Genomic DNA, 25,802 nt, shown 5'->3' on the forward strand with positions numbered 1-25,802 from the left:
AGAAAAAAAGAAAAGAAAAGCCTCCGCTGGACAGTGTCCATCATGGAAGACATTCATTGTGCCTGGTTCAGTGCCCTGCACGTGAATTGGAGCCTGGATCTGTAATGAGTTTAGTGCGTTTGTGAAACTGTGTGGTGTGCCATCATTTAGGCAGTAGCTGTGCCCCATTTAAAGTTTAGAAAAATCAAGCTTTTTAAAAACCAATAATTTTAGGTAATGTTAGGGACGAAGGAAGGGATGTTCTTCTTAAGTGGAAGACCTTTTGGAATACCGTAAACCTCTCCTAATTTGTTTTGTTATTTTGGATTTTTCTTGAGAGGCTGCACTGTAAACTGCCTTTTATTAGCAAATGTGAGCTGATGATAGTCCTGGTTGTTTACACCATCCTGCCAAAAAGAGTTGTTACAGAATAATCGTGAGGAGTCTTAAACACTGGAGGAATTTGAGATTCTGTAGAATATTAACCGATCTGGACTGTTCTTTCTTTTTTTGAGTGGTTCTGATGCAGATTTACGTAATTTCTATTATATAGACCACCTAATGATTAAAGAGCCTGTGAAAAGCCTCACATCTGAAAGGTACCTGAAAGTCTTTTCTTTCTGTTTGACTATGGAAAGCGTACTCTGTATTTAACCTCAAATTGAAGGAAATAAAAATCTAGAGGATTCTTTCAGGAGGCACAAAACTTACACACCCTATCTTAATATGTAAGTAGTGATTAAAATTTTAGCTGCTTTAAATAGCTGTACAGCTCAAAACTCTTACACATGTTGAAGGGTTCAGAAAGAAGCCAGTACCTCGAGAGGCTCTTTGGCCTCATATCTTTGATCAGATGCTGTGGAACTAACCCAGTGAGTTTCTGCCTCTACCAGGGGTGTCCAATCTTTTGGCTTTCCTGGGCCACACTGGAAGAGGAAGAATTGTCTTGGGCCGCACATAAAATACGCTAACACTAACCATAGCTGATAAGCTAAGAAAAAAAAATCGCACACACAAAAAATCTTTTTAAAAAGTTTACGAATTTGTGTCAGGCTGCATTCAAAGCTGTCCTGGGCTGCATGCGTCTCGCGGGCCGTGGGTTGGACAAGCTTGCTCTACACATTGTTTTTTCACTTGTGGCAAGTAGTAGTGAAAATAAGAAATGCTTTATGCTTTTAATTTGATGTGCCTCATTTACTGTCCCAATTCCAAGAAAAATAATTTTAGCAGATTCACCTAGGTTAAATTTAGGATTCCAGAAAAAGTAAAGCTAAGCTATTAGACCATTTCATGGGCTTATCAGCAATTTCAATAGAAAACTTAAAGCACTCTAGGTACTTACAAGCTCCCTGGCCAGGACTGTCAGACTAGAGAGGCAACAGTAAGGAACTGCCTTCGAGGCAAAACAAAGCGGCTTTCAGTCAATCTCAGGTTGCATCCTGTAACCTCACATTGGGAGACAGGCTATTAGGTATTTAAGGTTGGTCAACTCACTCCATCTTCCAGAAAGGATTCTCACAGCTTACAACAAAATAAAACAATTTTAACACACACACACACAAGTTGTGTAATAAGCAAATTGAAAAAAAATTGAGAAAAGGAGATTAGCTATGTAAGAATCCCAGGCTAGGCATATGACTAAATTCCAAGCTTCCTGTTAGTCCTGTCAAAGAGGAAATCAAGAAAGGTACATATTTAATGTTAAATTTTAAAAAGCATAAATAAAAGTTCAATAGGAAGGACTGGGCAGGCATTCACAATAATGTAAATAATATTTAATACATTGGATTAATGTTTATAATAGTGAAGAAAGCAGGGGCTCAAGCAATGCATGATCTCATTTATATGAAATAAATTTTCTTAGACATCTTAAAATATAGTAGGTGCTCTCTCAGTCCTGTAGGCACTGGTAGTTAACTGGTTAATTGAAAAACTGGGTTAAGGAGGAGAATCATTGAAAATGAAAATTTTTGGCCAGGTGCAGTGGCTCATGCCTGTAATCCCAGCATTTTGGGTGGCCGACATGGGTGGATCACCTGAGGTAAGGTGTTTGAGACCAGCCTGACCAACATGGAGAAACCCCGTCTCTACCAAAAATACAGAATTATCCGGGCACGGTGTCACCTGCCTGTAATCCCAGCTACTCAGGAGGCTGAGGCAGGAGAATTGCTTGAACCCGGGAGGCATACGTTGCGGTGAGCCGAGATCGTGCCATTGCACTGCAGCCCGGGCAGCAAGAGTGAAACTCCGTCTCAAAAGAAAAAGAAGGCTGGGCGCGGTGGCTCATGCCTGTAATCCCAGCACTTTGGGAGGCTGAGGCAGGTGGATCACCAGATCAAAAGATCGAGACCGTCCTGGCCAACATGGTGAAACCCCGTCTCTACTAAAAATACAAAAATTAGCTGAGTGTGGTGGCGCATGCCTGTAGTCCCAGCTACTCGGGAGGCTGAGGCAGGAGAATCGCTTGAACCAGCGAGGTGGAGGTTGCAGTGAGCCGAGATTGTGCCACTGCACTCCAGCCTGGTGACAGAGCAAGACGCCATCTCAAAAAAAGAAAAAGAAAAAGAAAATTGTTTTAAACTACAACATGTCAATGTTTATTGGCCAATTGTTGACATAGGTATATTCTTCTTTCTGACTCCTGACTCTTCTGAAGTTGTCTACTGTCTTTGACATTAAAGACACCAATAATGTAACCTCCCGAAAGTGCAATAATATGAAATATTGATTTATTAAAATGGATTAAAAAATTTAGAAATGCTTACAAAGCCCACTGAATATAGGTTCCCAGGTTTTTTATAGTTTTTATAATTTCTTTGCAATGTTTGTATTTCTCACCTACACATAACTTGAGAGTAGTAGTTTTAGCACTTACCTTTATTGAACCTTTGCAAGGTATTCAACTTTTCAAAGGGTTAATTTTTATAGAAACTACTCTTTTCATATTCATTGTTTTTATCAATATACGTAATATTTAAATAATCCTGGCAGTAGTGTAACCACTACACCTGGCATAACATGTTGAAATATACACACCTGACCCTTGTTAGCACAACCTCCTGATGCTGAGAATGAGAACACAGAACACAGGCCTCTGAGTGGAAGCCCCTCTCCAGGAGCATTCAGCATACGACAGTCATCAGCCAGTACATTCTACAGAAGCTTGGAAAAGATCGGTTTATTTGGCAAAATGGTTAAGTGAAAGCCAGCTGTGAAAGCCATCTATTTACATAAAAATGATGATTATGGTTATCTCTGTTTTGTGGGACTATGAGTAATTTTAGCTTTTCCTTTGCTTATTTGTATATTTAAAATATTCCTCTATAGTTTTTAACAGGAAAAAATTATATTAAACACAAATAGCTGGGTAAGATAATAAAATGATAGTAACTAAACCAGTGTGATAATAGGCCAGTGGAATAGAAGAGAAAGTTTCCAAAACAAATCGTATTATTTATAAGGGATTATACTTAAAATAGAATATACCTAAAATGAATAAGGAAGGAAAGAGTCCATTTAATAAATTGTAATTTAGGACAATGGGCTTTCAATTTGAAAACAAATCTAAGTCAAATCTAAATGGATTTAGGATTTTTTTATTATTATTAGACCAGGGAAAGGTCAGGAGGAGGAGTGGAGAGGATCTGATAAAATTAGAAAGATTAGAAGAAATAATAGAAATGATAGACTTGAAATAATAGGATGATGGAAATGATAGGTGGGGATTAGGGAGATGCACGTCTCACATTTCCTGGAAATTGTGATGTGTGAGGCCCATTTCAGATGCATTTCCTAAGCATGCTCACAGCAGCGTGCTAAATGTATCCACTTTCATTCAACAAGCATTTCCTGAGACCTCTTCTGGTCAGCCAGAGTTATATTCTGGGAGCTCAGTTCTAAATACTCCCTGATCTTAAGTAGCTCACAGCCTAATGAGGGACGCAGAGAGCAGTGATAGTAGAGAGTGCTTTGGAGCACACAGGAAGGTGTTGAGGTCATTAGGAGAAACTGTCTCAGCTGAGTCTTGAAGGATAAGCAGGGATTAGCCAGATGATGAAGGGGTGGGAGGGTGATTCTACCCAGAATAGAAGCACTTTGGCACTCATATAGCAACATGAGGAACAGAAGTCATTCAGGATGTCCAGAGCAAAGAAGATGTGCGTTTGCACCAAGAGGTGACCCTGGAGAGGATACAGGACTCTTACATGTGTGTTCAGACCTAAAGTGTGTGTTGTGGGGAGCCTGTGACAGGTTGTAAGCAGAGGAGCAATCTAGCCATATGGAGACTGCGTTGAGAGTGGAAATCTAGAAGAGAAAGACTTGGGAGGAAGGAAGCCTGAGCCGGGGCCTAAGAGGAGGACTGGAAAAGAGCAGGATTCCAGCGAGAAATCCAACAGGCTTGGTGACTAATGAAATTGGAGGGAAAGGGAAAATAAATCATGAAGGCCTATACTCAGGATGACGTGTGCCATCTCTTCATTTAGAGATGGGGGCTTTTGCCAGATGGTCAAATTCATCTAAGCTCTGATTCTCTACTTCATTGAATATTGGAAATATTTACCTTTTCTGTTCCATGCTAACTGTTGTAAAATCTCTGTAGTGATAGGAAGGAGTCCATTAGAGTTAGAGGTCCTGAAAATATTTATCTGTGCCAGCAAAAAATGTTTTCCACTCCCTGATAATGATTTCTGGTTTTCAGCTCCCCACATAACAAAGGCGTGTGTCGCTTAGGTAGTTGTAGACAAACCTCTCAATGACTCCAACTCTACTCTTCTACATTGTCATGCTAACCATTGGTGTGCTTCTATGCTAACAAGAAATAACATGCAATATGTTTTTAGTGTCTGTTTATATATTTATGCTGCTTTTGTTTTCCAAGAAGGCATATATACAAAAAGATTTTTTTTAACCCCAGGCTGGAGTGCAGTGATCCCATCATAGCTCACTGCAGCCTCAAACTCCATAGCTCAAGCGATCCTCCCACCTCAGCCTCTAGAATAGCTGAGACTACAGGCATGCACCTTCACACCCAGCTTTTTTTTTTTTTTTTTTTTTTTTTGGAAAGGCAGGGTCTCGCTTTGTTGCCCAGGCTGGTCTCCAACTCCTGGATTCAAGCAATCTTCCCAACTCAGACTCCCAAAGTGCTGAGATTACAGGTGTGAGCCACCATGCCCAGCCCGAAAAGATTATTAAACTAAAAATATAAAAGCAAAGACATAAACAGGAAGAAACAAATATGCTGGACTCTGGGACTAATATGGTCACAGTGCATTGAAGCCTTAAATTCTTTCAGCTTTCTTAGCAACCTGATAGGAAAGGAAAACACAAAGATCGATAGAATTTTATTCTCTGGTAGAAGAAGGTTTATGCATTCTTCAGTTTACTGTGGAAGCAAAAATAACCCACATATGGCTCTTAAATTGGGATTTGGGGATGCTAAGCTGGGGAAGTCCCAGCATGTAATTTCCTGATGCTTTCACTGAAGTTGTTACCTCATACCTTATTTAGATCTGTTTCTACTATGAGTTACACGACATGGTTCTTGGGTGTAAATAAAACAGAAAGATAAGTCTTCATTTATTTCGGATACATTCACTGAGTTCTACATTAGCTAAGAATACCAGAATAAGAGACCCAGCCTCTGCTCTCTGAAAACTCACACCATATTTAGGAAGCAAAGGAGTAAGCAGATGATTGTAATCTAGTGTGCCAGCCACTCTAACAGAGTTAACTCAGGAGTAGCAGGGAGACCCACCTGAAGGTGGGAGGGCCAGGGAGGTGGGGCTGTAATAAGCAAATAAGCCTTTGGGGAAAGGGAAGTAGAGAGTGTTCCAAGGAGGAATAGCGTGTGTGAAGAAATGATGATGTGTCTGTGAATCTGTACTGAAGTGTAGGTGTGGGGACATGAAATTGGAGCGGTCAGTAGGGATCAGATCTCGAGGGTCTTGCAGGCCACCCTAACGGTCTTGATTTTATGCTGCAGAAAATGAGGACTTGCTGAAAGATTTTAACCAAAGGAATGTTTGGAGATATTTGCCTTTCAGGGGAAAAATTACCCTGACAACAGTGGGGAGTATGGCATGGGGTGAGTTGCTTCTGGGCCAGGAAAACAAAGTGAAGAGACCATTGTAAATATACCATGTGATTCAGAATGAGAATTCCAACTAGGGCACTAGCAATAAGAATGGAGAGAAAAGGCAGGAGAATCGCTTGAACCTGGGAGGCGGAGGTTGCAGTGAGCTAAGATTGTGCCACTGCACTCCAGCCTGGGTGACAGAGCAGGACTCATCTCAAAAAAAAAAAAAAAAAAAAAAGAATGGAGAGAAAGGGATATATTTAAAAGCTAATGGAGGGATAGAATCATCAAAAACGGATGATTGGTTGGTGTAAGGGGCCAAGTGAAAGAAAGACAGGAGTGAAGCGTGAATCTCCAGGTCCTGGTTTGCATGCAATGCTGCATTGGAAAATAATTTACTTTTCACCTGGAAAGAACCACTTTAAGATGAAGCCGTATTTACTTTCATAAAGAGACAAGATAAAATAACAGAAAAAGCACTGATGTAGGATTTGGAGTATTTGAATTTATTGCCAGTGCCTCCAGTCCAGTCATGGGTTGTTTGTCCTCTCTGCCTATTTTCTTGACTATAAAATGTTATATGCTCAGCCTGTGCTGTAGGACTACGATGATAAATAAATGAACTTAGGGGATAGGAATATGCTTCGAAAGCAGTTAAATACAACAGAGTTGTTATCTCCTTATTTTCTGATGCCTAAAGGAGACAGCATCGTATAAGGAAGAGAACAAAGGTTTGGCACTATGGATATAGATTTGAATCTGTCTCTGCCTCTTGCTGTAGAAGCTGGGTAACCTGCGAAAGCCACAAAAGCTTTTTGAGGCTCAGGATCTTCCTTTGTAAAATGGGAATAGTCATGTTTTATAGGGATTGTGTAAGACAATGATAATTTTTTCATTTCACTCATTCATTAGCTAACAGATATTTAATGAGTACCTACTACGTGTTAGAAGCCAAGAATATAAAAGTGAACAGAACAAGCTAGAGTCTCCACGCTAGTTTTATGTATAAAAGCTAATGGTGGCTAGGCGCGGTGGCTCACATCTGTAATCCTAGGACTTTGGGAGGCCAAGGCGGGTGGATCACTTGAGGTGAGGAGTTTGAAACCAGCCTGGGCAACATGGTGAAACTACATCTCTACTAAAAATACAAAAAATTAGCTGGGTGTGATGGCGGGCACCTGCAATCCCAGCTACTCGGGAGGCTGAGGCAGGAGAATCTCTTGAATCGGGGAGGCGGAGGTTGCAGTGAGCCGAGAATGTGCCACTGCACTCCAGCCTGGGCGACAGAGCAAGACTCCATTTAAAAAAAAAAAAAAAGCTAATGGTGGGATGATATGATTGAAATGGCAGAGCAGGAAATTCCAAAACTCCATCATTCCACAAAAACGATGATCAAATTGACAAAAACTGTCCAATCAATTTTTACCAAATTCTAGAATCTAATAAAGAACTTACACACCTAGGCAAATGCTAAATAAAGACATTTCAGTAAGAGCATTGAGGCATGTTAACTTATCTGCATACCATCTCCACTCACCAGCTTAGCAGCATCTGTGAAAGTGGTGGCTCATGTTTCTGATGTGGCTTGCCAATGCCCAAGTAAGCAATGTGTGGTTAGACCTTGTTCTCAAAAAAAAAATTGTGGTTGTGTGTTTTGAATTGTCTGGTGGCTCCCTGAATGATCAACTCAGGGGTTTATCTTTGTGTCACATGCCTCAGAAGCTTCTTAGGGTTGAAGTGATCTCCCAAGTGACATTTGTCAATGGCACTTAAAGGCTTATATACTAGCTGCAGCAACCTGTGGTGAAGAATAACAGATGCGGCAAACGGCAGACAGATGGAAGCCTGGGAAAGAAGAGGCTAGAAAAGGACATACACGGAGGAATAACAGCTTTCAAAAGCTCCTGCATATACTAGGAAATGTCCAAGGCCACACACATGCCCAGGGCTTGACACAGGAAGGACCTGAGAAGACCACAAACGTTCGCTTCTGGCTAACCTTTCGATGCAAGCAGGAAGTAAAGGCTAGAGCAGAGTTGTAAACAGTCTTGCTAAGGGTTAAGCAGTGCCCCCATAAAGAATGAATGTGCAAAGACTGGAAGGTGATCTCTTTTTTTTTGTGGCTCCAGGTATTTAAGGAAAACTCTGTCAAATCACTAGCTGACCATAAACTAACAAAACAGAGACTTCAGTGGCCACACACACACACACCAAAGAATACAGTCTCTACAATACATAGTTCAGAAAAGTCATTAAACAAATAAACAACGATAACCCACAATAAGCCAGCAACTACAAACCCTAGGGAGGAGGAAGAATCTGATTTCCAGAGTTGCCACATTATAATATGCAAAATGTCCAGTTTTCAACAACAAGAAATTACAAGGTACACAAAGAAATAAGAAAGTACAGCCTATTAACAGTAGAAATTAACAGAAACTGGCCAGACGTGGTGGCTCACACCTATAATCTCAATACCTTGGGAGGCTGAGGCAGGAGGATTGCTTGAGGCCAGGAGTTCAAGACCAGCCTGGGCAACATAGTGAGACCCCATGTCTACCAAAAAATAGAAAAAGTAGCCGAACATGGTGGCGTGCATCTGTAGTCCCACCTACTCAGGAGGCTGAGGTGGGAGGCTTCCTTGAGCCCACGAGTTCAAGGCCGCAGTGAGCTGAGATTGAGCCACTGCACTCCAGCCCGGGTGACAGAGCAAGACTTCATCTCTTTAAAAAAAATTTTTTTAAAAAGAAACTGTCTTTGAAGAAGCCCAGATATTTGACTTACTAAACAGAGACTTTCAATCAACTGTCTTAAATATGCTCAAAGACACAAAGAAAGTGAAGGACAAAGAACTAAAGAAAATCAAGAGAACAATGTTTTACCTAATAGAAGACATCAATAAAAATATAGAAATGATAAAAAAGGGAACCAAATAGAAAACCTGGAGTTGAAAATAACTGATATCAAAAATTCACTAAGAGGGGTTCAGTAGCAGATTTGAGCAGGCAGAAGAAAGAATCACCAAATTTGAAGATAGATCAACTGAGATTATTCAGTCTAAGGAGCAGAAAAAGAAAAGAGTGAAGAAAACTGAACAGAGCCTAGGAGACCTGTGGGATACCCTCAAGCATACCAACATACACAGAATGGGAGTCCCAGAAAGAGAAGAGAGAAAGAAAGGAGCAGAAAGAATATTTGAAGAAATATTGTCTTATAAGGTCTGGGCTATAAAGAAAAAAATACTTGAAGAAATAATGGTTGAAAACTCCTCAAAAGTGATAAAGACATGAATGCACATCTAAGAAGCTCGACAAACTCCACATAAAATAAACCTAAAGAGATCCACACTCAAACAGATTATAACCAAATTGTTGACAAAGAAACATAGAAAATATTGAGTGCAGCAAGAGGGAAGCAGCTCACTACATATAAGTGATCCTTAATAAGATTATTCCCTGATTTATCAGAATGAGGGATGATGTATAGTAACCCTGAAAGAAAAACAATTGTTAATCAAGAATCCTGTATTCAATAAAATTCTCCACCAAAACTGAAAGAAGGCCAGGCACAGTGGCTCACACCTGTAATCCCACTGTAATCTCAGCACTTTGGGAGGCTGAGGCAGGCGGATTACCTGAGGTCAGGAGTTCAAGACCAGCCTGGCCAACATGAGGAAGCCTTGTCTATACTAAAAATACAAAAATTAGCTGGGCGTGATGGCACATGTCTGTAATCCCAGCTACTTGGGAGGCTGAAGCAGGAGAATCACTTGAACCTGGGAGGTGGAGATTACAGTGAGCTGAGATCATGCCACTGCACTCCAGCCTGGACAACAGACCAAGACTCTGTCTCAAAAAATAAAAATAAGGCCAGGCACGATGGCTCACACCTGTAATCCCAGCACTTTGAGAGGCCGAGGCAGGTGGATCACCTGAGGTCAGGAGTTGGAGACCAGCCTGGCCAACATGGTGAAACCCTGTCTATACTAAAGATACAAAAATTAGCTGGCATAGTGGTAGGCGCCTGTAATCCCAGCTCAGGCAGGAGAATTGCTTGAACCTGGGAGGCGGAGGCTGCTGTGAGCCGAGATCTCGCCACTGCACTCCAGCCTGGGCGACAGACTGAGATTCCGTCTCAAAAAATAAAATAAAATAAAAACAAAAAACTGAAAGAAATCAAGACATTCTCATACAAACAAAAGTTGAGGAAGTTTGCTTCTAGTAGACCTGCCCTATGAGAAATGCTAAGGGAAATTATTCAGGAAGAAATGAAAGAACACAAGTAACTCTAGCTATACAAAAAAATAAAAAATAAAAACATCAGTAAGGAAACTACATAGGTAAACATAAAAGCTAGTATTATTGTATTTTTTGTTTGTCACTCATTTGTTGTTGTTGTTGTTGTTGTATTTGAGACGGAGTCTTGCTCTGTTGCTCAGGCTGAGTGTAGTGGCATGATCTCAGCTCACTGCAACCTCCACCTCCTGGGTTCAAGTGATTCTCCTGCCTCAGCCTCCTGAGTAGCTGGGACTACAGGTGCATGCCACCACATCTGGCTAATTTTTGTCTTTTTTAGTAGAGACAGAGTTTTACCATGTTGCCCAGGCTGGTCTCGAACTCCTGACCTCAGGTGATCCACCCACCTCGGCTTCCCAAAGTGCTGGGATTACAGGCGTGAGCCACCGCACCCGGCCTGTCACTCACTTTTTTTCTACATGATTTAAAAGGCAAATGCATAAAACAATAATTATAAATGTATCTGAATGAACACACAATGTATAAAGATATAATGTATGACAATAACAACATAAAGGGAGAAGGTGGAGCTACATAGGAACACAGTGTTTGTACATTATTTAAGCTAAATTGGTATTAATTCAAACTAAATTATTATAAATTTAGGATGTTAATTATAACCCCCAAGGTAACATTAACAAAATAACTAAAAATATACATTCATAAAAGGAAATGAGAATCAAAATAATACACTAGAAAAATCAATTAAACATAAGAGAAGACACAGATATGATATAAAGGAAATAAACAACAAAATGGCAGAAGCAAGGCCTTACTTACCAGTTTTTTAAAATGTAAATGGATTAAACTCTTCAGTTAAAAGGCAGAGTTAGTGGCATAGATTAAAAAACAGACTCCAACTATATAATATCTGCAAGAGACTCAATTTACGTCCAAAGACACAAATAGGATGAAAGTGAAAAGATGGAAAAAGATATTCCATGCAAATAGTCATCAAAAGAGAACTGGAGTAGCTATAGAAATATCAGACAAAACAGCCAGTAAGACAAAAATTGTTACTAGAGAGGACATTTTATAGTCATAAAAGGAACAATGCATCAATAACATATAGCAATTATAAACATATGTGGGCCAAGTGCAGTGGCTCACCCTTGTAATCCCAACACTTTGGGAGGCCAAAATGGGAGGGTCACTTGAGCCTAGGTGTTCGAGACCAGCCTCAGCAACAAAACAAGACCCTGTCTCTACAAAAAGTTTTAAAATTAGTCGGGTGTAGTGGCGTGTGCTGGTAGTTCTAGCTACTCAGGAGGCTAAGGTGGGAAGATCCCTTGAGCCCAGGAGGTCGAGGTTGCAGTGAGCTATGATCACGCCACTGCACTCCAGCCTTGGTGACAAAATAAAAAATAAGCATATGTGCATCTAATAAGAGAATCCACAGTACACGAAACAGAAACTAACAGAATTAAATGGAGAAATAGACAAATCAACAATAATAGTTGAGACTTCAATATTTCATTTTCAAAATGGATAGAATAACTAGACAGAAGATCAAGAAGAAAATAGAAGACTTGAAGAGCATCATACACCAACTAGACATAATAGACATCTGTAGAGCACTTTATTCAACACTATTCTTCTGAAGTGCACATGGATCATTCTCAAGGCTAAACCATGTTAGGCCACAAAACAAATCACAGTAAATTTTAAAAGATTTAAATCATATAAAGTATATTCTAGGTCAAAATAGAATGAAATTAGAAATAAATAACAAGGAAATTGACTCAAAATGTTATGAAAATAACAAGTAAATTACCTCAAAATAGACCTAAATATAAGAGCTAAAACCCTAAACCTCTTAGAAGAACTCATAGGAGTAAATCTTCATGACCTTGGATTGGGCCATTGTTTCTTGGCTATGAAACCAAAAACACAAGCAATGAAAGAAAAATAGATAAATTGGACTTCATCAAAATTGGAAAATTTTTGCCTCAAGGGACATAATCAAAAGTACAAAAAGACAACCCACAAAATGGGAGAAAATATTTGCAAATCATGTATCTGATAAAGGTCTACTGTCCAGAATATGTGAACAACTCTTACTACTTAACAACAAAAAAATAAACAACCCATAACGAGCAAAGGACTTGAAGAGCTATTTCTTCAAAGAAGTTTAAAAATGGCCATGAAGCACATAAAGAGATGCTCAATGTCATTAGGGAATTGCAAATCAAAACCACAAGGAGATACCACTTCAAACCCACTAGAATGACTATACTCAAACAAATAGACAATAAGAAGTGTTGACGAGAACACTCATACATTGCTGGTGAGAATGTAAAATGGTGCCACCACTTGGAAAACAGTTTGGCAGTTTCTCGATAAGTTAAACATAGAATTACCATGGGATGCAGGTATATATCCCAAATGATTGAAAACAGGTGTTCAAAGAAAAACTTGCTCACAAATGTTCATAGTAGCATTATTCACGATAACCAAAAAGTAGAAATAACTAATGTCCATCAGCTGATGAATGATAAGCAAAATGTTGTATATCCATACAACAAAATACTACTCAGCTGTAAAAAGAAATGAGGTACTCATACATGCAACAACATGGATGAACCTTGAAAACATGATGCTAAGGGGAAAAAGCCAGACACAAATGGCCACATATTGTATGATTCCATGTATATGAAATATCTAAAATAGGCAAAATCCATAGAAACAGAAAGCACATTCATGCTTATCAGGCACTGGGGAAATTGGGAATTACTGCTTATTGGAAATACGGTTTCCTTTTTGGGTAATGAAAATATTCTGGAACTGTATAGTGGTGATGGGTGCAAAACTTTGTGGATGAACTAAATACCACTGAATTGTACACTTTAAAATGGTTAAAATGGTAAATTTTATGTTATATATATTTTACCAGAATAAAAATAAAGACATACAGAAAAGTTAGAAGAATAGTTCAAAGAATTTTTATATATACCCTTCATCTACATTCCCTAAATGTTAGTATTTTAATGCATTTGCTTTTTCTCCTCATTTCCACTCCTCTATCCTTCTTCCCTTCTCCTTCCCCTTCCCCTGCTTCCCTTTTCCTACCTCTCCCTCCCTCTCTCTTGCTCTGTCTCCATTTCTCTCTGTCTCCATCTCTCTTGGTCTCTCTCTGTGTATGTGTGTGTGTGTGTGTGTGTGTGTGTGTGCGTGTGCATTTTACAGACCTTCTTTAAATTTTAACAGTTGTCCCACTAATGTTCTTTATGGAAAAAAGCTTTTTTTTTTTCTGGTCAACAATCCAATCTAGGATCACACATTGCATTTCATTTTCATGTCTCTTTAATCTCTTTTAACTTGGAGCAATTGCACAGTCTTTTGTTGTCATTCATGACCTTGATGTATTTGAAGAGTCAGGCCATTTATTTTCTAGAATGACCTTCAATTTCGGTTTGTCTAAAGCTTCCTCATGATTAGATCCAAGGTATGCCTTTTTGGCAGGAATACCACAGAAGGCATAACTGTGTCCTTCTCAGTGCATCATATCAGGAGGCACATGATCTCGTTTGTCCCATTACTGTGTGCTAACTTTGATCATTTGGCTAAGGTGGATCTTCCTGGTCTCTCCAATGTAAATGTACTGTTTCTCCCTTTGTAATTAATAAGTATCTTGTGGAGACATATTTTGAGACTATGTAAAAGTCCTATTTCTCATCAACTTTTCACATTATCTATTCACATTCTTCTCTGAAACAGCTATTACTGGTGTTTTCATATAATGATGATTTTCTAATTTCATCATTCTTCCTATATTTATTAGCTGGTGTTCTACTGTAAGGAAAATCTCTTCTCACCCACTTAGTTTTTCATCAAATAAATATTTATTCATCAAATAATATATATGTTAAATAACGTTTTAATTAGTCATCAAATACATATTTATTTGTTGAATAAATATTGATTATTCATCAAATAAATAAATATCAAATCCCAGATTGTTACTTTTTTCTGTTATCCTCATTTATTTTTATGCCCACATTGTCTCAGATTTAGCCAATGGGAGCCCATTCAAGCTGGCTCCTGTACTTTTGATCTGTCCCCATCATTCTTTGAGTACTTCCTTATTCACTGACGCAACCAGATGTTCCAAGCTCATCTTATGCTTTCCTGGTTTCAACTCTGTAATCAGCCAAGTCTTCAAGTGAGCCCTAGTTCCTTTTAATGGAAACTGGTATTTGGAAACCAAGGTCTGGGCACAATATGTGCTTTTGTGGTAGCTATTTGATAATAGCGACCACATGATATACAGCAGGAGAAAGGAAATGACTGCATTACTTTTTTTTTTTGAGATGGAGTCTCACTCTGTCACCCAGGCTGGAGTGCAGTGGCGCCATCTCAGCTCACTGCAACCTCCGCCCCCTGGGTTCTAGCGATTCTCCTGCCTCAGCCTCCCGAGTAGCTAGGATTACAGACACCTGCCACCACGCCCGGCTAATTTTTTTGTATTTTTAGTAGAGACCGGTTTTCACCATGTTGGCCAGGCTGATCTCGAACTCCTGCCTCAGATGATCCACCCGCCTCGGCCTCCCAAAGTTCTAGGATTACAGGCATGAGTCACCACGCCCTGCCTACTCTGCATTACTTTTTATAGGTCAATCCACACCTGGAATATAAATGAATGAGAGTGTTTTCAGAGACAAGCCTAGAGAAGATATCTACTGGGAAAAGAGACATCTTGGGGTAGAGAAAGGGAAAAGCAATGATTACTATATTCAAATATCTAAAGGGATGTTGTAGAAAAAATGGTGTCTATAGTCATGTCCTGAGCCCCTAAAGGGTTCTAATGGTTGGAAAAAGAGACTTCTGTTTCATCAGTCAATTAACATATGTTAATCACCTATTACTATCAGGCTGTGGCAGTGAGTGCTGATTGCCCTGCTATTGCTCTTCTGCCCATCTTTTTCATGAATATAACCCAGATATCATTCTGGTTAGCAAAATGCCTTACTAAAATACTCACCTTTCCATACTTCCCTGAAGCTTGAAGTGGTCGTATGACATAGTTCTGCCCAATGAGATATAAGCTGAAGAATACTGGCAATTTCCAAGAAAATTTCGCCTTCCCAATATAGGTGCCGCCCATCTTCCTGGTTTTCCCCTTCTCTGGCCTGTCTGGAATGCAGATGTGATCCTACTTGAAAGAACAAAAGACATATTACAAACACCAACAGAACCACAGACCAAAGATGGCAGAACCAAAAGATAGAAGGAGCCTGGTTCCCAGAAAGCATTCTTGCCTGATTTCTCCACAGTTGGGCTTGATGTCTTCTGGGCTTACTGTTACATGAGAAGAATGAATCCCTTTCTTGTTTAAGCCACTATAATAGGTTTCTGTTAAATGCAGCTGAGATGCAGTCCTAATCCAGGCACTATGCTAAGTCCTAGGAGGGGAAAGGCCACCTAGTGGAGTCACTGGCTTTTCCTGCCTATCAGACAGAATGTGAGGAAGACTTCCTAAAAACTGGAACACTACCAAGATGGACTTAACCCCAGGAGAAGACGTGATCCCCCTGACTACGAAGGAATGTGTGTAGAGGCTGGGTGGTACTTTTGCAGCTGGGATGTTGTAAAGCAGTATTGAGCACAGAGTGAAAGGCTAATTCAATGACCTTTAAAGTCTATTCCAGTGCAAACATTTTTCTAAGAGTCAGAAAGTTAAAAAAAAAAATAGATGGACTCAGGGCATGCTAAGCTTTCGCTGGACAGTTAGTGTTTGGTTTTTTTTTTTTTTGTATTTTTGTTTTTTTGAGACAGAGTCTTGCTCTGTCGCCCAGGCTGGAGTGCAGTGGCACGATCTTGGCTCACTGCAACCTCTGCCTCCCGGGTTCGAGCAATTTTCCTGCCTCAGCCTCCCAAGTAGCTGGGATTACAGGCACGCCCACCATGCCTGGCTAATTTTTTGTAGTAGAGATGGGGTTTCACTGTGTTAGCCAGGATGGTCTCTATCTCCTGATCTCGTGATCCGCCCGCCTCGGCCTCCCAAAGTGCTGGGATTATAGGCGTGAGCCACCACGCCCAGCCGACAGTTAGTGTTTTTTAGCTGTAGTCTGCATTTGGATCGATGATTTTCATTAAAGTTCCTAAGAATGCATGCTCCCTCAGCACCCCCTGGGTAAACATGTTATAGCAATTTTAAGTTTCTAATGAAATTTTTGTTGTAATTTATTTGTAGCAATCTAATTTATCCCTTTTTTTACGACTAGAATTTTTATTTATCTTGGATTTACAAAGTTAATATTGCCGTAAAACATAGCAGCATTTTAATTTTTAGATAGTAATAGATTTATTATTTTTATCTGTGTTTAAAATCATAGTAGTCTGGGCACCGTGGTGCACAACTGCAGTGCCAGCTACTCAAAAGGCTAAGGCAGGAAGATCTCTTGAGCCCAGGAGTTCTAGGCTGTAGTACGTGATGAACACACCTGTGAATAGCCACTGCACTCCAGCCTGGGCAACATGGCGAGACCCTGCTAGAACAAAAAAGAAAAAAAAACCATAGGAATAAGATGCATTTTCACCACTTTGGAATGTTTATGTCCCATAAACTAACCATTAGGGATCTGTTTATTGGCAGAGTTTCTGTAAATATATGAATGCTCTTGATGAGAAAAGGAGATTTTTTTTTCCTCTCAGAGTGGAAGCCAGGTTCTTTGGTGGGATACTCACCCATCAAACATAAGAAAGGAAAGGTCAAGACTTTACTGGGTTCTATGGTTGATCCCAAGCCTGAGATAGGAGGATGAGCTGCACAACTTTGTGAAGGTAGCCAAGGGTAACTGGGAAGTTATTAAGGGCACAATAGAGGTTTATTGAGTGAATCAACAAATGAATCCTTTGGCAGCCTGATTGTTTCTGAGTAGGTGATTTTGAACAGCCCACAGTTCAAAGATTTCTCAAAGCCCACAGTTTTGAGAAATCAGTGTTTCTCAAAAGGCATCACAATAGGGGGTGCAAGGAAGGTAAAAAAGGCAGCGTTTAAAACAGAAATTACTCAGGGTCTCACTTCTACCTGCTGAATCAGAATCTCTGCAGCCAGCAGACAGAAATCTGCATTTTAACAAACCCCAACCCAGTCCAGAGGATTCTGCTGTATAATAAACTTTGCTAACTATGGACACGCATGCTGTTCCAGCTGAAGTTTCCACGGAGGGACGGAACCTTAGAGGGAGGCAGGAGTTCCAGCTGGAGCAGGATTTTGGGGTGGTCGTCCTTGAGAGGGCAGCCATAGTACATGTGCTTGTCTCTAGCGACACCTGCTGGTTGAGAGTGACAATTAACAACCCCTGAAACTACACAGGTGTTTTCTCTAATGGGGCCTCCAATACTAAAGGCATTTAGTGTTTGCATTCTAACAGCGGTAATTAACATACCAAAAGCCCCAGATATGGGACACTAACTTTTATATGTGTATCCTCTTTTCACTAGCTTTCAGGTAGAAACAATATATACTTGAAGAATATTGTCCTTCGATTATCTTACATGTTTCTTAGAATGAATGTTCCCGTTTTACGTTCATTTGAAAAAAGATCAACTTTTGGATATTCTCTGAAAGGATTGACTGAATTTTTTTTTTTTTTTTTTTTTTTGAGATAGTATCTTGCTCTGTCGCCCAGGTTGAAGTGCAGTGGCGTGATGTCGGCTCGCTGCAACCTCCACCTCCCGGGTTCCAGCGATTCTCCTACGTCAGCCTCCCAAGTAGCTGAGACTATAGGTGCCCACCACCATGCCCAGCTAGTTTTTATATTTTTAGTAGAGGTTTCACCATGTTGGCCAGGCTGGTCTAGAACTCCTGACCTCAAAAGATCCACCCATCTTGGCCTCCCAAAGTGCCGGGATTACAGGCATGAGCCACCGCACCCAGCCTACTGAACTTTTTGACTAGGGAATTTGTTCTCTGTTATTGTTTTATGGAAATAAGAAGAAGCTAATTCTTATCTGACATCAAAGACTCCAGGCAAGATAAAAAAAAAAAAAAGTACCATGATATCTTAGAGAAAAATTGGTTCTTCTACTTTCCTGAGCACCTACTATATGCCAGTATTCCTCTCAGGGAGGCTCACAGTTGAGGGATGGAGAGGGGATAGGTGTGGTCAGTGTAGCAATAGAAGTGTGTATAATGTGTCACAGTAGTTGGGGGTGGGGGCAACAATTCATTCCATTGGGGTGGGTCAAGGAATAAATTGAGGCCTAGGGGAAAAGTGTGATCTTCCAAATCCTCCACAGACATCGCCAGATCTGAAGTTCCCAGAAAAGAGACTGGTGTGTGCTAAGGCATAAAGGTGTGAAATAGCATTTGCGGCATATGCACTTGGAAAGCAGTAACCTCCAAATAATATGTTCTTATAAAGTGTGAGGCTGGAAATGATAAGAGATGAGGCCAAGGAGTCAGGCCACGTCTCACCCACCTGCCAAGAAGGTTAGATTTTATCCTGTAGGTGGTGAATAACCACAGAATAGTTTAAATTTAAGATTTGCTTTTTATCAGGTTGTTTGTCCCACTTGACTATCCATGCACAAAGTATAGAACCTCCTATTTATCTGACAGTGGTCAAAACTGAGTCAAAAGGCCTAAGATTATATCTATTAATTGAGAATTTCATGCAGATTAAACACAAAAAGTCCCAGTCCCTTTGGAAAGTAACTTAGCATTCTGGTAATTACATTTGACCTGTGTGCTGTAAAAGGTTTTGGTTTTGGTTTTAGTTTTAATGTAGATATTTAACAGAGCTGAATTTCTGTGCCTTTTATGTGTGAGCTGCTGCACTGCCTCCTCTCCTTGTCCTAACAGGGACTCACACACAGCATTCCCCTCACACAGACCCCAGAAAATCCCATCGGTGTCCTTACTGGGGCCAAACACTGAGCACTGGTTCCTAGAACCTGAGGCATGAAATAAACCAATTCATTGTTTTCTGCATAATTTCACATGCTTTTAAAATAATAAGTGATAATGGATACATTACCATGTTGCCTTTCACAACAGGGTAAGATGCTCACTTTGTGGTCGTACACATGATCAGGACCTTCCCTCATGGAAGAAGGATAAAGAAACCTTGTTTCACCCTCCTCCCTCCTGCTTGGTCTTCAGCCATACCATGCATGTCTTTATGCACTTATCATGGTCTGGTGGAAAAGCATGGAATTTGGAATCTGATGGACTTGAGTTTGGATCTTGCCCACCCCATCACCTTGCCAAGTTCCTTAACTTCTCTTTCTTTACCTGGCAAAAGGAGCTAATAATGCCTTCTCTTGAAGACTGAGTGAAAAGTGTGATTATATCCTGAAACCAGTGCCCAACACACAGCAGATTCTTAATAAATGCTAGTCCTTTCCATTCTTTTTCTATCTTGCCCTTGATATCAGTGAGCCATCAGAAGGCCAGGAAGCAGCCAGGCATGGTGGCTTATACCTGTAATCCCAGCTACTCAGGAGGCTGAAGCTGGAGGATCATTTGTAGTCAGGAGTTTGAGACCAGCCTGGGCAACATAGCAAGATCTCATCCCTACAAAAAAAAAAAAAAAAAAAACAATTTAATTAGCCAGGTATGGTGGCATGTGCCTATAGTCCCAGCTACTCAGAGGACTGAGGCAGGAGTTTTGCTTGAGCCCAGGAGTTTGAGGCTACAGTGAACTATGATTGTACCACTACAGTCCAGTCTAGCCAACAGAATGAGACTCTGTCTCTAAAAATAATGATAATAGGCTGGGTGCGGTGGCTCACGCCTGTAATCCCAGTACTCTGGGAGGCCGAGGCGGGCGGATCACCTGAGGTCAGGAGTTCAAGACCAGCCTGGCCATGGTGAAACTCCATCTCTACTAAAAATACAAAAAATTAGTCGGGTGTAGTGGTGCATGCCTGTAATCCCAGCTACTCTGGAGGCTGAGGCAGGAGAATCTCTTGAACCTGGGAAGCGGAGGTTGCAGCGAGCCGAGATTGCGCCATTGCACTCCAGCCTGGGCAACAAGAGCAAAACTCCGTCTCAAAAAAAAAAAAAAAAAAAAAGAAAGAAAGAAAAAGATAATTAGAAGTAAATAATTTTTAAAAGACCAGGAAGCTCACAGCCTTCAGTTCACACTGCAACAGTAGTAATTGGCCATTAGATCATGCTGTTCAGTGTTGTCCTATGGGGCTTACCTCTGGAACAGGTTAATTAAATAAAATCACACTTCTTAGCTTACAGATTTTCTGTCTTGATGTCTTTGTAAAGATTTTGAGCTGTTTTGGGTATGGAGTCTGACAGTCATTAACTAGCCCCCACCCTTCCCACTCCCCTGTTGTTCCAAGAGGACCCCAGTTCTGTCAATATTTGCTCACCACTAGATGTGGGCCACAACCCTGAAATGATTCCCAAAGCCAGGCCTTCCTGGCCTATGGGTTAAGCTGCCCCAGTTGCACAGATAAGCAGCTTGTGCCTGACTGGCCTGCCCCCAAATCAGGAGAGAATCTCTTAGCCACTCGTGCTGAAATGTGACTTTCTTATTAGCAGATATTGTCTAACAGACTGTGGATTCTTGCTCATTGGCCAAGTCAACAGCCTAAAGGACCTTACTCTCAAAAATTTAGGTAAAAGTTAATCTTTGACTTAGAGGGACAACATTTTTGGGGACAGTCTTCATTGCATGTAGTTTGCTCTGTTTGCACTCATCTACTCTTAATGTAACATCCTGGAAATGCCAAGATGTTGGCAGATTGTAACTGAACAAAATTTGGCAGTGAACTTGACAATCAAAATAGAGCCAAGTGACAAAAGTTTGAAAAGACACAAAAGAAAAAGATTTACAAGCTGAAGAACGCTAGAGTTAGCATAGAGACATATGGTTATAGAAAAAAATGCGAGTTTGCAAAGCTGTAGCACAGAACAGCACTAATATAAATGCCTGCTCAAATGTGGCTGCAAGACAAAGCTGGTGCCTGATATGGGGAGATAATGATGATCCTGAAATATTACCCTGCTGTATTTGTACTTGAAGGATTTTAAAGTATGTTCAAAGTAAATTTTATCTGTGTTTAATAAGCTCACAGGATAAGAAAGGAGATTGTGCCTTCATTGTAGTTTTATAAAGAGAGTATCTTTCAAGACATACACAAGACAGGAAAAGGAAAACCAGTCTTTGGAAAGACCATATGTTGCAATCTGAGAATTAGAAGGTTTGAACATCTATATTCCGAGAAGCCTCTTATTTGCTTTGGAACTCCCAACTTACAGGTATAGCCAACTGTTAATTATTAATACAAATTAATTTAGTAATTTCTACCTTCTACCTAGTTCAGAAGTTCTCTTAGAAGGCCATGTATTTCTAGCTGGGCGCGGTGGCCCACGCCTGTAATAATACCACTTTGGGAGGCCGAGGTGGGTGGATCACCTGAGGTCAGGAGTTCGAGACCAGCCTGACCAATATGATGAAACCTCATCTCTACTAAAAATACAAAAATTAGCCGGGCATGGTGGCATGTGCCTGTAATCCAGCTACTCTGGAGGCTGAGACAGGAGAATCACTTGAACCCGGGAGTCAGAGGTAGCAGTGAGCCGAGGTTGCACCATTGCACTCCAGCCTGGGCCATAATAGTGAAACTCTGTCTCAAAAAAAAAAAAAAAAAAAAAAAGAAGGCAATATGTTTCCATGCTGCCTGCTCTGAGAGTTGAGAGCAAAATCTGTTGCTTCCTACCTCCCATGCAGTGCTCCTTGCCCTGTCTTCTGGAACAGCAAGTGCCTATGCCGTTCAGCAGTTCTTCGAGCATTTGATTAGAGGAAGCATTTGATTAGAGTTCTCTTTTGTCTGCCATTATTCAGAACAAATGCATGGTCTCCAAGCCCTCCCCATCCAGGATCCCCGACCCTGACCCTAGCAGAATGCGCCCTATTGCCTTGCATCACCCCAAGGTTTTGGCAGGAACAGAGGAAAGAGGCCAAATGTCCTATTTTACTTCTTGTTAGAGTTCTAGAAAGACCAAGGCAGTGAAAACACTTGATTAAATAAAAGTCAGGAAAATTGGTGACTTTTTTTATTTACAAAATGTCGGCGTTCTCTTGGGCATGGGAAATTAAAGTTACAAACACTCTTTCCTTTGTCCCGGAGACATGTGCATGGTGAGGTAAAAGGGAGAGTTACAAAGACTCTTTTCTTTCACTGAGAATCATGCATCCCTTTTTAATATATCTCTTTCTTTTCTTTCAAATTAAAAATGTGCCAGAAAGTTGAGCTGATTATGAGTCAGTGCCAAGCTTATCCAAAATGGATGTTCTAGGCCGGGTATGGTGGCTCACGCCTGTAATCTCAGCACTTTCGGAGGCTGAAATGGGCAGATCACCTGAGGTTGGGAGTTCAAGACCAGCCTGACCAACAGGCAGAAACCCCCTCTCTACTAAAAATACAAAATTAGCCGGGCGTGGTGACACATGCCTGTAATCACAGCTACTCGGGAGGCTAAGGCAGGAGAATCACTTGAACCCGGGAGGCGGAGGTTGCAGTGAGCTGAGATCGCACCATTGCACTCCAGCCTGGGCAACAAGAGTGAAACTCCATCTCAAAAAAAAAAAAAAAAAAAAAAAAAAAAGGATGGTCTAGATAGACGTGCTGTTGTGTTGCTTTGATGTCCTACTGAGTTAAGCACTGCAAGAGTCCATTCAGAAAGACACAGATATATAGCATAATTTTGATAAATAAAAACAATTCAGAAAATGTTGAATAAAGTAACAAATATCCAGAGTTCCATAGGTTTAACCGTATCATATATTTTTAAAAGGCAGGTGTTAAGCGTTTTAAAAACTATTTCACCTTAAAATTATTTATTTTCCTTATAAAACAATACCTGGAAGTGGTTCCTCTGGTTTTCAAATATATGATGTGATAAATGGAATGCATTAATATTTTATGAATTAGATGTGCTGGAATGGCATACATTGCTCCTGGAACAGCTATCATTTACTGAACACTTTTTCTCCTTTTGCCTAGTAAGCAAAAGCCACTGTGCTAAGGGCTTTCTAGGCATTATCTTTAAATCCTTGTAAGAATCATGAGACAGAGAGTGGTTCCCATTTTAAAGTTGAGATCACAATGACTCAGAAACTTAAGTTATATTACTAGAGGTCAGAGAGCCTCTGGCAAGTTATTCAACTAAGCATTAGAGCCACCGTCATTAAAAGAGTTCTGGATTACAGGAGTTTATATAGTAACCCACATTCAGAGAATAGAGCAGCGACACTCATAATCCAATCTTGCATTAGGTTCACAAGACTTCAGAAATCTCTTTTTTTTTTTTTTTTTTTTGAGACAGAGTTTCCATCTGTCGCCCAGGTAGGCAGAGTGCAGTGGCGCGATCTCGGCTCACTGCAAGCTCCGCTTCCTGGGTTCACGCCATTCTCCTGCCTCAGCCTCCCGAGTAGCTGGGACTACAGGTGCCTACCACGGCGCCCGGCTAATTTTTTGTATTTTTAGTAGAGGCGGGGTTTCACCGTGTTAGCCAGGATAGTCTCAATCTCCTGACCTCTTGATCCACCCGCCTCGGCCTCCCAAAGTGCTGGGATTACAGGCGTGAGCCACCGCGCCCAGCCAGGAATCTGCTTTGAATTCCTTCAGCACACTGGTGCATTGTCAGTATTTTTCAGTCTTGCACAGGCCTAACTTTTCCAGTAAGTTCGGACCTCTGGTAGAAGTGACTACAGTACTGAGCATACTCAAGTGTTTCACTGAGTGCCAGTTGAGAGAGGTGACAGCGTTAGGTTGGACTCTCCTACCTGAGTGATGACAATAAGGAAGTCCACCAACTTCCTTTTTATCCTCAAGGTCAGAGTTACATCTAGCAACTTAGGTACTCAAGCCAAGTAGTTAGAAATTTCCCCTTAAATCAGCAGGGTGGAAGCTGGTCCCTCTGTACTGCACAGAAAGGGGCCCTCATGATCTCATGATGCAGGACTCCTGCCCTGACCTTGGGCCTCCTGCTCCATCCTTTTTTTTTTTTTTTTTTTTTTTTTTGAGACAGAGTCTTACTCTGTAGCCAGGCTGGAGTGAAGTGGCACCATCTCGGCTCACTGCAACCTCTGCATCCCGGGTTCAAGCAATTCTCCTGCCTCAGCCTCCTGAGTAGCTGGAACTACAGGCGCGTGCCACCACACCTAGCTAATTTTTGTATTTTTAGTAGAGACGGGGTTTCACCATGTTGGCCAGGATGGTCTTGATCTCTTAAACTGGTGATCTGTCCCTTCAGCCTCCCAAAGTGCTGGGATTACAGGTGTGAGCCACTGTGCCCAGCCCCATCCTTTATCAGCGGCCATGAGACAGATCCCTGGATAGGACAGACCTACCTCATATGCTGGAGAATTGCTGTGGCCATTTGGCTAATTAGAGGGCCAAATTTGCATTGTAAAATGGTACCCACTAAATTATAATTCCCTGGGGGCAAAGCCTATTTTCAGTGTCCTACTTCTGGTTTGCGTGAAGTTGAACATTTTTTCTTACAAACTCTCAGTGGCACCACCAATTTAAATAAAGAGGGAATTTTAGCTTATCTTGTCTGGTGTCCAGAATCAAACAAGTTTGTGGGTAGAATATCCAAGTCACTCATGTTAAAAACTCTAGAGTTCTCCATTACACTTCCTTCTCCCCGATCATCTCCTAACCCCTAGCAAGGAGCAAAGTTAGATTTATGTCAGGCCCTGTGTGGGACATAGTAGGTACTTATTGAATGAACAAAGGAAAACTGGGACGGAAGGAAAGAGGGAGGGAGACAGAATTTGAGTGTTTGAAATCTACTCTTATGTTAACAGTGTGAGGAAACAGCTCTTTTGAAAGTCATTTGGAAACGTGTATTAAAAATCTCAAGAATGGGCCAGGCGTGGTGGCTCACGCCTGTAATCTCAACACTTTGGGAGGCCAGGGTGGGCGGATCACCTGAGGTCGGGTGGGCGGATCACCTGAGGTCAGGAGTTCGAGATCAGCCTGACCAACATGGTGAAACCCTGTCTCTACTAAAAATACAAAAATTAGGCGGGTATGGTGGCACATGTCTGTAATCCCAGCTGGTCCAGGAGGCTGAGGCAGGGAGAATCACTTAAACCCAGGAGATGAAGGTTGCAGTGAGCCGAGATTGCCCCATTGCACTCCAGCCTGGGCAACAGAGCGAGGCTCGGTCTCATAAAATAAAATAAAATAAAATCTCAAGAATGTGCACATTTTTATCCAGCAATTCTGTGTTTAGAAATTAAGGACATGTGAAAAGATTTTGCTGCAAATCAGACTATTGTTCCTTGTTATAAAATATTGCAGCCAACCTGAATACCCAACAATAGAGAATCAGGTGAATGAATTATAATACATCTAAACCGCTTCTTCCTCTAACCTTTCATATCTCAGTAAATAGTAACACTGTTAAACCAGTTGTTCAAGCTGGTAACCTAGAATCATTAAATTTCCCTTTCTTTCAACTTGTCATT

The 25,802-nt window shown here is 40.9% G+C and overlaps 1 protein-coding gene across 2 annotated transcripts in view, besides 1 other annotated feature; it reads left to right on the forward strand.

Moving 5' to 3' along the window:
- Positions 1–25,802, forward strand: part of SLC44A1 (solute carrier family 44 member 1) — a 193,854-nt gene that overhangs the window by 153,312 nt on the left and 14,740 nt on the right. The gene's annotated exons all lie outside the window — the stretch shown is intronic.
- Positions 7,512–7,712: a silencer, noted in NCBI's record as "peak7314 fragment used in MPRA reporter construct". NCBI's record gives its function as "represses an SCP1 promoter by STARR-seq MPRAs in K562 erythroleukemia cells {active_cell/tissue: K562}" and the evidence as "EXISTENCE:reporter gene assay evidence [ECO:0000049][PMID:32103011]".

This window comes from Homo sapiens, chromosome 9, assembly GCF_000001405.40.
Source record: "Homo sapiens chromosome 9, GRCh38.p14 Primary Assembly".
Classification (NCBI taxonomy): Eukaryota; Metazoa; Chordata; class Mammalia; order Primates; family Hominidae; genus Homo; species Homo sapiens.